The sequence below is a fragment of the Homo sapiens genome, chromosome 17 (genome assembly GCF_000001405.40).
Source record: "Homo sapiens chromosome 17, GRCh38.p14 Primary Assembly".
Taxonomy (NCBI): Eukaryota; Metazoa; Chordata; class Mammalia; order Primates; family Hominidae; genus Homo; species Homo sapiens.
In genome coordinates this window covers 27281519-27293902 of record NC_000017.11, presented here as the reverse complement: position 1 = coordinate 27293902, position 12384 = coordinate 27281519, and the positions used below count along the sequence as shown (strand labels likewise).

Sequence of the window (12384 nt, the reverse complement as noted above, 5' to 3'; positions counted from 1 at the left end):
TGGTCTAATATGGAGTTTATAAGCTGAAGTGGCTTTGAAAAGGGCAAGCAGAGAATTGTATTATTATTAGCCTCCTAGCTTAAAGATTGCATGGAACTTAAACTGGCTGAACCAAAAGAACAAAAAGACATTTCAGGTTTTCACTCAATTTGGCCAACTCCCCAGCCCACAAGTAATAGGGAACTGAAGGATGCACTGATGAAAAAGACAGGATGAAAATTAACATCGTTGTGCACCACCTGTCCAGCTGCGATTGTTCAGACCTGAGCCAGCAGGTTTTAGGAAGGGCCGAGGGGAACGAGAAGGAGACTCGGGCGTGATCGCGCCGCACCGCGCCGCGGGGCCTCTCTGGACTGCCTTTGTCCTGGCCAAGATGGATCCCACTGTCCTGGCCAAGATGGATCCCACTGTGTCAGCTCAGAATTGGCCCTTCCTCCACCTTACCTGAAGGCCTCTGGGAGGCACCTAGTTGTCCACACATCAGACTGATAAATGTGTCAGTATCTGCTAGATGCCAGCTTGGTTCCCGGTCACAGATGACGTATTTGCATTTTAATGGCTTCTCGTGTGGACCCTAAACATTGCAAAGGCCTGGGGCGTATAAGACTGGGAATTCAAATATGTGGCAGATATTCATGGGACAGAGTAGAGTGTTGCATAGCCGCTTTTTTTTTTTTTTTTTTTTTTTTTTTTGAGACGGAGTCTCGCTTCTCCCAGGCTGGGGTGCAATGGCGTGATCTTGGCTCACTGCAACCTCCGTTTCCCGGGTTCAGGCAATTCTCCTGCCTCAGCCTCCCCAGTAGCTGGGATTTGTACAGGCATGTGACACCAAGCCCGGGTAATTTTTGTATTTTTAGTACAGAGGGCGTTTCACCCTGTTGGCCAGGCTAGTCTCGAACTCCTGGCCTCGAGTGATCCGCCCGCCTCAGCCTCCCAAAGTGCTGGGATTACAACGTGAGCCACCACGCCCGGCTGCATAGCCGCTTTTAAGAGATCTCAAATGATAACACTGTAGGGCATGTTTACTTCATCTTTTCTTTGCATGAGTGTATTAATTCTTCAAATAGCGAAATGTTTAATAAAACATCGCCCCTCCTTTTTTTTTTTTTTGGTTATTTATTTATTTTTTTTTTTGAGACGGAGTCTTGCTCTGTCTCCCAGAGCAGAGTGCAGTGGCGCCAACTCGGCTCACTGCAACCTCTGCCTCCCGGGTTCAGGCGATTCTCCTGCCTCAGCCTCCCGAGTAGCTGGGACTACAGGTGGCTGCCACCACGCCCAGCTAATTTTTTTCATCCTTTTAGTAGGGAGGGGGTTTCACGATATTGGCCAGGCTGGTCTTGAACTCCTGACCTTGTGATCTGCCCACCTCGGCCTCTCAAAGTGCTAGGATTAGAGGCGTTAAGCTACTGCGCCCTGCCTGCCCCTCGTCTTTAAAAAAAAATCACTTTGTTAGGCTGGGGGCGGTGGCTCACGCCTGTAATCTCAGCGCTTTGGGAGGCTGAGGCGGGTGTCAGGAGTTCGAGACCAGCCTGGCCAACATGGTGAAACCCCCATCTCTACTAAAAATACAAAAAATTAGCCAGGCGTAGTGGCGAAGTCCCAGCTACTCTGGAGGCTAAGGCAGGAGAATTGCTTGAAACCGGGAGGCAGAGGTTGCAGTGAGCTGAGGTTGCACCACTGCACTCTAGCCTGGGTGACAAGAGTGAAACTCTGTCTCAATAAATAAATAAATCAATAAATCACTTTGTTAGCTTCAGTCAACGATATCTTGAGGACTCACTCTGTATCAGGCACTGGGCCTAGTTGCTGAATTTTTAGAGTAGAACAAAAGAAAAACTTTAATGCAGTCTTGTAGCTCATGTACCAACATTCATATCAGTCTGAGTTAATTCTTTTAACCAACTGCTATTATCCCTGTTACTTGTACTATACCATACAAATTCATGGGAAATACCAGTTTTTGAGTGTCCAACAGTGAATTATTGTGATGACTTTTTCTTTTTTTTTTTCTCCCTGAGATGGAGTCTCACTCTGTCGCCCAGGCTGGAGTGCAGTGGCACGATCTCGGCTCACTGCAACCTTTGCCTCCTGGGTTCAGGTGATTCTCCTACCTCAGCCTTCCGAGTAGCTGGGATTACAGGCACACGCCACCATGGCTGGCTGATTTTTGTATTTTTAGTAGAGACGGGATTTCACCATGTTGGCCAGGCTGGTCTCAAACTCCTGACCTCAAGTGATCTGCCCGCCTTGGCCTCCCAAAGTGCTGGAATTACAGGCGTGAGCCACCCCGGCCAGACTTTTTAATACAATTGTTTAATTTCTATTTTAGTTTATTCCTGCAAGCCAACAGACTTCCTGGCCATTTTCTCAACTGGCAAAGCATGACAATGGAATGAAAAATAATTTTATGATTTGTGTACTCATTAGTAATAGATACTTCTAAGCACTGAGCCATATAAGTGCTTCTGTGGATTAACCGATTTCATGCTCACAACATATGAGCAGTGTATTGACATACATTACAGAAAAACTTTAATGCAGTCTTGTAGCTCATATACCAACATTTATATCCATCTCAGTTAATTCTTTTAACCAACTGCTATTATCCCTGTTACTTGTACTATACCATACAAATTCATGGGAAATACCAGTTCTTGAGTGTCCATCAGTGAATTATTGTGATGACTTTTTCTTTTTTTTTTTTCTCCCTGAGATGGAGTCTCATTCTGTCGCCCTGGCTGGAGTGCACATACAGTGTATTGACATACATTTCATAGACACTTAGTAACCTGAGAAGCCACAGGACAGAGTAAGCTGCAGGGGCTAGATCTGAACTCAGACTTGTTTGACTGCCCTGCTTCCATGCTACCTTGCCTCTCATAAATGAAACCTAGCTTGAAAAGCAAATATATACCTGGCATTTCATATCTGTGTTTGCTACTTTAATGTCAAATCTGAAGGGGCTTCTTATTCCCTACATGTCGCATAGATGTTGGGGTTCTCTAGAGTTCTGTCCTTGGCCCACAGCTTTTTTTTTTTCCTTCTTTCGCAGTCTCCCTGGGTGATGGCAACCTCTTTCTTGGGTTTAAATACCAGCTCTGTGTGAAGACCCTCAAGTTGAGAGCTAACTTCCGTCTTTTTTTTTTTTTTTTGAGACGGAGTCTTGCTTTGTCACCCAGGCTGGAGTGCAACAGCGCGATCTCAGCTCACTGCAACCTTCGCCTCCTGGACTCAAGCAGTTCTCCTGTGTCAGCCTTCCCAGTAGGTGGGATTACAGGTGCACACCACCATACCCAGCTAATTTTTGTATTTTTAGTAAAGACAGTGTTTCACCATGTTGACCAGGCTGGTCTCGAACTCCTGACCTCAGGTGATCCACCTGTGTCGGCTTCCCAAAGTGCCGGGATTACAGGCATGAGCCACTGAGCCCGGCCTGTCTTAAGTTTAAAATTTACATGTTCAAATGCTTACAATAAAACTCAAAATGTCAAAACTGAACACATCATTTCTCCTCAGTCTGCTCCATCTTTTGTATTTCCTACTCTAGTGAAATGTCCACCCAGTCACAGGTGCCAGAGGTGAGTCTTCCTAGCTTCCCTGCTATGCCTCATCCCAACATGAAATCAACCAATCCACAAGGCTTGCCAATATTTTATCTTAAACTGTTCTAGAGTCTGTCCTGTCTGTCCCAGCTCAGCTGCCATGGGCTTAGTTCAAGATCTTGTCATTTCAATCCTCTTAACAATCCTTTATAACCCCACACCCTGAAAAACCACCATTGACACCTTGGTGTTATTTCCTTCCCCTTAAAAAGTTGTATTAGTAATGTCATGTCTTTAGACAAATAATTTAGCCTCCCTGTGCCTCAGTCTTCTCATCCAGAAAATGGGGATAGTAATAATACCTACTTCACAGTTTTGAGGATTAGTATTTACAACAGGGCCTGACACAGAGTACTATATATGTGTTAAATACTATTTTTATATATAGTAATCCTAGCTAACTGCAAAACTGAAAGATCAAAATCTCATAGAAAATAGAGGGTTGGCAAAAAGCTGTGAAATAACATTAAGTATATGTACAATTGAAACAATAAATAAAAGGCCAGGCATGATGGCTCATGCCTATAAGCCCAGCACTTTGGTAGGTTGAGGCAGGCAGATTGCTTGAGCCCAGGAGTTCTAGATTAGCCTTAGCAACATGGTGAAACCTTGCTTCTACAAAAAAAATACAAAAAATTTAGCTGGGCATGGTGGCACGCACTTGTAGTACCAGCTACTCAGGAGGCTGAGGTGGGAGGATCACCTGAGCCTGGTAAAGTCAAGACTGTAGTGAGCTGTGATTGAGCTACTGCACCCCAGTTTAGGAGACAAAGTGAGACCCCATCTCAAAAATAAATAAATAAAAATAAATAATAATAAACAAAAGTTCTAGAAAGCATTCATTTCAAAAACAAAGCTGACCCAACCACTAAAATCCCATTCTCTTGAATCTCATTCTTGAATTATTCAAAAAACATCACTGTTATATAGTTATTTGTTAAGGCCAATTTACCCATAATTTTTACCAACATTTATTATCCTGAGATATATACACACACACACATATACATATACAGGCTGAGCATCCCTAATCTGAGAATCTGAAATGCTACAAAATCCAAAGCTTTTTGAATTCCAACATGATGCTGCAAGTGGAAAATTCCACACCTGACCTCATGTGACAGGTCACAGTCAAAAGTTTGTACAGGCTGGGCAAAGTGGTTCACAGCCATAATCTCAGCACTTTGGGAGGCTGAGGTGGGTAGATCGCCTGAGCTCAGGAGTTCAAGACTAGCCTGTGCAACATGGTGAAACCCCGTCTCTACCAAAAATACAAAAAATTAGCTGGGGTCGATCGCTGAGGTGCTAGGATCTCTTGAGCCTGGGAGGCAGAGATTGCAGTAAGCAGAGATTGCAGTGAGCAGAGATTGCAGCACTGCACTCCAACCTCGTGTGACAGAGTGAGATGCTGCCTCAAAAAGAGAAAAAAAAGTTTGCGCAGTCAAATCTCTGTTTTGTGCACAAAATTACTAAAAATATTATATAAGGCCAGGCGCGGTGGCTCACGCCTGTAATCCCAGCACTTTGGGAGGCCAAGGTGGGCAGATCACAAGGTCGGGAGTTCAAGACCAACATGGTGAAACTCCGTCTCTATTAAAACTACAAAAATTAGCCGGGTGTGGGGGCGCATGCCTGTAGTCCCAGGTACTCAGGAGGCTGAGGCAGGAGAATCGCTTGAACCTGGGAGGCGGCGGTTGCAGTGAGCCAAGATCGTGCCACGGCACTCCAGCCTGGGTGAGAGAGTGAGACTTCATCTCAAAAAAAAAAAAATTGTATAAAATCGCCTTCAGTCTATGTGTAAGATGTATATGAAACATAAATAAATGTCATGTTTAGACTCATGTTAGACTTAGTGCCATCCTCAAGATAGCTCATTATGTGTATGCAAATATTCTGATATCTGAAACACTTCTGGTCCCAAGCATTTCCAATGAGAGATATTCAACCTGTATATGTAACTGTATATGCATCCTCCATCATGCTATTATCTCACATCTCAGCAAAATGTTGTATAAACAGGCAGGCTTTTCATGTAGTTATACCTTTGCTTTTTCTACACCATTTTCTTATATGAACAGGGAGGTGCAGAAGCATTAAAGAGGTGGAACAATAGTCACATTCGTTTGTTCAGGGGGAGTGAATATAACTATGCATATGGAAATAATTAGCATTTGGAGTAGATTACAATTTAAAAGTTTGTGTCTTGCCTTTTCTTTCCTATCATAAAATAATGTTTTCCTGTATTAAAAAACCTTTTCAGCCAAGTGGTGGCTCATGCCTGTAATCCCAACACTTTGCCTGAGGCAGGCAGATCACTTGAGGTTAGGAGTTCAAGACCAGCCTGACCAACATGGTGAAACTCTGTCTCCATTAAAAATACAAAAATTAGCTGGGAGTGGTGGCTCATGCCTCTAATCCCAGCACTTTGGGAGGCTGAGGCGGGCAGATTATGTGAGCTCAGTAGTTCAAGAACAGCCTGGCCAACATGGTGAAACCCTGTCTCTACTAAAAATACAAAAATATTGGCCAGGTGTGATGGTGTATGCCTGTAGTCCCAGCTACTCGGGAGGCTCAGGCAGGAGAATTGCTTGAACCCAGGAGATGGAGGTTGCAGTGAGCCGAGATCTTGCCACTGCACTCAACCCTAGGCAACAGAGCAAGACTTTGCCTCAAAAAACAAACAAACACTTTTTACTACATCACTGTAGGTAACTTTGACTTCATTTGGCATTGAACATTTTTCTTTTCTTCACAATACTTACTATCGCGGAGGACTGGGCTTCTCCTATAATTAACTTTTCATTATTCCTATAGACATTACAGGTATATTTCCCTTGATACCATGAATGTATCCAGTTCACAACTGTGGTCTTTTTGTTGAGCAATTCAAGTGGGTTGCTATCAGGATATGCATCCATATAGAGCTCTGAAGTTGCAGACAAACCTCTAAATAAATTTAAAATTCGTAAGGATTCCTGCAGGTTCTTATTTTTGAACCTATATTTTGGTGACAGAAGAAAGGAAATATCCCCTTCCTATAACTAAAAGAAAGCAACATTTACTTAAAACAAAAGCCACATGCCAGGTGCGGTGGCTCGCACCTGTAATCCCAGCACTTTGGGAGGCTGAGGTGGGAGTTTGAGACCAGCCTGGATAACGTAATGAAACCCTGTGTCTACTAAAAATACAAAAAATTAGCTGGGCGTGGTGTCGGGCGCCTGTAGTCCCAGCTACTTGGGAGGCTGAGGCAGGAGAATCACTTGAACCTGGGAGGCGGAGGTTGCAGTGAGCTGAGATCACACCATTGCACTGCAGCCTGGGCAACACAGTGAGACTTCGTCTTTAAAAAAAATAAAGAAAATAAAGAAAAAACCACACATGAATAAAATAGAAAAGCTAATAAATTCTGTAACAGAGAATTGAATGAAGCCCACTACCACCAAAAAAAAAAATTTTTTAAGCCCAAAAACCAAAAAACCAAACTCAACAAACACAATGCCAATATTTTATTGTTTCCTAGTGTGGTCAAATCTCAAAGATAAAAATGATTATCATATGGCCAGGCACAGTGACTCACGTCTATAATCCCACCACTCTGGGAGGCTGAGGTGGGCGGGTCACTTGAGGTCCGGAGTTCAAGACGAGCCTGGCCAACATGATGAAACCCCATCTCTACTAGAAATATAAAAAGTTTGCCGGGCATGGTAGTGGGTGCCTGTAATCCCAGCTACTTGGGAAGCTGAGGCAGGAGAATCACTTGAACCCGGGAGGTGGAGTTTGCAGTGAGCCAAGATGGCACTACTGCACTCCAGCCTGGATAACAGAATGAGACTCTGTCTCCCAAAAAAAAAAAAAAAAAAAAAAAAGCCTATCATACTGTTTTGACTCTGTCCTGACCAAGTCCAAACAAAAAACAATTAAAAATGCCTTGCACAGCATGCATTGCTTAAGCAATAGGAGAGTTGCTTATTTTTGCTTTTTGGACCTCTCTGCTATTGCATTGTTTTTACAACTTCTCCATGCTAAGTCTAAGGATGCATACAAAATTATGCAGGGTTTGGATTCTAGGCCAGGAGTTTCAAATCATGGGATTTGTGGCACTAAGTCTGGGATTCTAGAATGAAAGGATATGGAATTTGCCCAGGATTCAGCTGGGCAAGTACAATTTATACACATAAGCATGTACATTAATAAATAGTAATAGATATCTTTGTAATTGTGGAAATGCTGGAAAAATAAGAGGACCCAGAGGAAAATTCTGAAGGCAACCACTTTTGGCGGTGGTAGTCTTGCTGGGGATGAAATATCTAATAGTGCCCCCATTTTTACCCTGCTGTCTTATTTTTCACTTTTTCCCTGATTTCACATTTTTTGTGTGGGGTGTTTTGACAATGTGGTTTGAGCAGAATATTAGTATTGGGTTTTCAAAGATGTATACTTTGATCTTAGTTTAAAACTGTACCCAAAAAGGCTCAAAGTGTGGAAAATGGTGCAGCCAGTCTAGATGTTTCTGCATCTGTGTCTGGGCCAGAATGCTGGAGGCTTACAGGAAATTATATCTGAAAGAGTAAGCAGTGGGGCTGGGTGTGGTGGCTCAGGCCTGTAATCCTGACACTCTGGGAGGCTAAGGCGGGAGGATCACTTGAGTCCAGGAGTTTGAGACCAGCCTGGGCAACATGACACCTCATCTCTACAAAATTTTTAAAAAATTAGTCTGGTATGGTAGTATGCCTGTAGTCCCAGCTACTACTTGGGTGGCTGAGGTGAGAGGATCGCTTAAGCTCAGGAGGACAAGGCTGCAGTGAGCCATGATTGTGCCATTGCACTCCAGCCTGGGAGACAGAGTGAGACCCTATCTCAAAAAAAAAAAAAAAAAAAAAAAGAGTAAGCAGAGGCCCCCCATCTCTATTGCTCTGTTGGATTTCCTATACACACTGATGAGATAACCCAGCTCCCTCTCCTCTCCTTACCCCCAAACTCAGGGCAGTTACATGCAGGCTGTGTCCTTTAGTTCAGTCCTTGACCTTCAGAAGAAATCTGTGTAAAATGGAATATTCCATGCGATGATGGAGATTTTCCTCCTATCAATAATTTTCCTCTTCCTCTAATAGAGCTCTGCACTTTCATTTTCTGATGTTTTTGCCTGTGACCATTCCACAGAGATTGCGAGGAAGAAAACAATGATCCTTCACCAACTGCATACAACTCCAGGATTTCTCTTTCGTGGCCTCCTCCTTCACTCTTTTGTTTCTTGTTTGGAAAACGCTTCCTGAGTCTTATCTCCAGGTGCCCGGCTTTTTTGGCAAGCTTTTTAGTCAGCTGTTTCCCACTTCTGGTGCAATGACATGGGCTGGAATTTGAATCCTCTTCAAGGGTCTCAGAGAGTCCTAGTGACAGGTCACAGGCTATCTCTCCTCAAGATTTCACCCCTGCCAGCCAGTCTTGTCCTGGTACAATGGATTTGAATCCAAGATCTGCTATTGCTATCTTTACTTGCTAGAATATAGGTCATAGTATTTTTTTTAGGCTAAGGAACTTCTGACTGACTCCTCCACATTATTTCAGTTCTTTTTAATCTTCCATATTGTTTTAGTTACTGAATTTGGTTTTTTCTTTTTTTTTTTCAGATTCCTTTTTTTTTTTTTCAAAGTCTCACTCTGTTGCCCAAGCTGGGTGATCTTGGCTCACTGCAACCTCCGCCTCTGGGGTTCAAGCGATTCTCCCGCCTCAGCTTCCCAAGTAGCTGGGATTACAGGCGTGCACCACCATGCTCAGCTAATTTTTGTATTCTTAGTAGAGTCGGGGTTTCACCATGTTGGCCAGGCTGGTCTTAAACTCCTGATCTCAGGTGACCTGCCTGCCTCAGCCTCCCAAAGTGCTGGGATTACAGGCACGAGCCACCACGCCCAGCCCTGTGCCTAATTTATAAATTATACTTTATCATAGGTATCTATAAGAAAAAACATAGTATACATAAGGTTCAGTACTATCTGCAGGTTTAGGCATCTACTAGGGTCTTGGAAGTATCCTCCAAGAGAAGTAAGCACTACTGTTTTGTGTGACTTTGCTTATTAGTTGCAGATGGAAAAATAAGTGTATTGAAGAGGTTATCTTCAATAAATATTTAGGAGTTTTTAAGAACAGGCATTTAAACTAATGTTTCAGAGGCATAGAATCATTTTCAGACTCATAGCTAGAAATGACCTTAGAGGCCAGATCATGTAGTATTACCTTTTACAGATGATGAAGCTATTGTCTTAGTGTATAAATAACTTTCTCACATTCATACAACTGGTTAGTGATAAAATGAGGATGAGGCATGGTTTTCCTTGCAAGACTCCCAGCACTTTTCCTATTACACTGAACTTTGTATACATGTTATCTCTCCCCAAAGTCATAAGTTAATGGAAGACAGAGGTCATATCCATTCATCTCAATTTTTTTAAACTTTTTTTTTTTTGAGACAGAATCTTGCTCTGTCACCCAGGCTGGCATGCAATGTCATGATCTTGGCTCACTGCAACCTCTGCCTCCTGGGTTCAAGCAATTCTCCTGCCTCAGCCTCCCAAGTAGCTGGGATTACAGGCACACGCCACCACGCCCAGCTAATTTTTTGTATTTTTAGTAGAGACGGGGTTTCACCATATTGGCCAGGCTGGTCTCAAACTCCTGACCTCATGATCTGCCCACCTCAGCCTCCCAAAGTGCTGGGATTACAGGTGTGAGACACTGCGCCCAGCCTCATCTCAATTTTTATGAAAGATAAAAAATTAGAATGCCTGGCAAATACAGCTGCCAAATAGCAGATGCTTAGTTAATTCTCTTTGAATTGAGTTCTTACATGATGAAACATTCTTCTTCTTGGTCTCATGTTCATGAGAAGCCACTCTATTCACTGAATATTTACTGATGTCTTACTATGTGCCAAGTACCAGACTAAGATAAAAAATGAGAATTAAAATGAAGATCTCCTTTCAGTTTTGGGTCTATATTAAAATGTTACTGTAAGGGTGTTCAATTTCTCAATTAGAAAAGGGAAGGAAGTGAACTTTCAGCTAAGCTATTTCCCTTTCATAGACTCATTTGCATTTCCTAAAATTTTAGTGCTAACAAGAACTTAGGTTACCTAAGATCACATTGTCAGTAAATGGCAAATCAAGGGTGAGAATGAACATCAGCTCCCTCAAAATCCAATATTCCTTCCATTACAAATAATCTCTTTCTTGTGCATTTTTGGAATAACATATACAATAGTTAAATTTATGAGTGTTAATAAAATGGAAATCCATGTTTCTTCTGGATTAGATATTAAAACACCTGAAAAAGGATATGGAAAGAAAGTGGGATGGGAGAACAGAGCCATTGACTCTTAGTCAAAAGAGCAGAAGATGCCCTAATCATCTGTGTCGAATTATGGAATATTACGGCACACACCACCATGTCTGGCTAATTTTTGTATTTTAGTAGAGGTGAGGTTTTGCCATGTTGGCCAGACTGGTCTCAAACTCCTGGCCTCAAGTGATCCGTCTGCCTCGGCCTCTCAAAGTGCTGGGATTACAGGTGTGAGCCACCTTGCCGGGCCTAAATTAAAACAAAAAATTTTTTTAAGTTTAAAATATAACAGAGACAAGGTCTCACTATGCTGCCCAGGCTGGTCTCAAACTCCTGGGCTCAAGCCATCTGCCTGCCTTGGCCTCCCAATATGTGGAGATTACAGGTGTGAGCCACCAAGCCCAGCCGAAAATATGTTTTGACTTTGCACTTTCATCCTTGGATACCAATGTACTTTGTAAGCATTAATTGGCTGTTATCTAACCTTGTGTCTCAAGGGTATAGACTGTTATTTCTTCATCCCACAGAGGAATGAACTCAGTTCCAGAGAGGTTTGGAGAATTATCCCAGCATAGCGAATAGTATGATTAAGCCAAGCAAAATTTAAGCCTAGGAGCTTAAATTCCTCTTAAGATTTGGCCACCTTGATGTGATCTGGGAATTTGGGAGTTGTGCAATCCTTATGGTTTGTTCCAGCTCTCAAGCAAGCACTAAGGAGCTAGGGAGAAGGCTACCCTTCATTAAACTCTGTCTGGCCCTTTGCTGGGTTAGCTCATTTAATCCTCCCAGCAAGTATTTCCCCATTTCACAGATAAGGAAAGTTTCAGAGGTTAAGTAACTTCTGCAAATTCACATACTTATGTAAGAGGCAGAGTCAGAATTGAAACCTTTCTTTCTCACTTGAGTTCATGTGCTTCGTGGAAACCATGAAATTATAAATTTGGAGACCTGGGCTCTAGGCTGATTTTGCCACCAAACTGAAACAACACTGATCAAAAGAGCCAACAATCCTGACCCATAATCATCTCCAGCTCCTTTGCTCAGTCATGGGCTTCCTTAGTTTATTCATCACCTCACACGGGGACACAAGTGGATCCACGTAGTGGGCCTCCTGACTTCATCTTTCTTCCCTGCATAAATATCATTCGACCATTTTATATTGCACCATATGCTAGAACAATGGCAAAATTTGATACGTTATTTTGAAAAATTGAAACTCCAAGATTAATGCTGTTAAGAATCAATCCAAACTGGATGTTTTTCTTATGTAGAAATAATCCACATAGAGATAGTCATGTGACCTGTCTATCTCCTAAATCTCATCGGGAGGGCTTCCCTAAGCTGGTGAGAGGATGTTGAGAGGGAATTGCCTGGAGGGAGATGATTTAAAAGGAGACTTAAAAGCCTTAAACATGGGGGTAGGAAAAGGTCTTAATAACCAGGAATTCAC

At 42.7% G+C, this 12384-nt stretch overlaps 1 annotated feature.

Moving 5' to 3' along the window:
• Window positions 11-60: an enhancer, noted in NCBI's record as "active region_11892". NCBI's record gives its function as "activates an Ori minimal core promoter by ATAC-STARR-seq in GM12878 lymphoblastoid cells {active_cell/tissue: GM12878}" and the evidence as "EXISTENCE:reporter gene assay evidence [ECO:0000049][PMID:35858748]".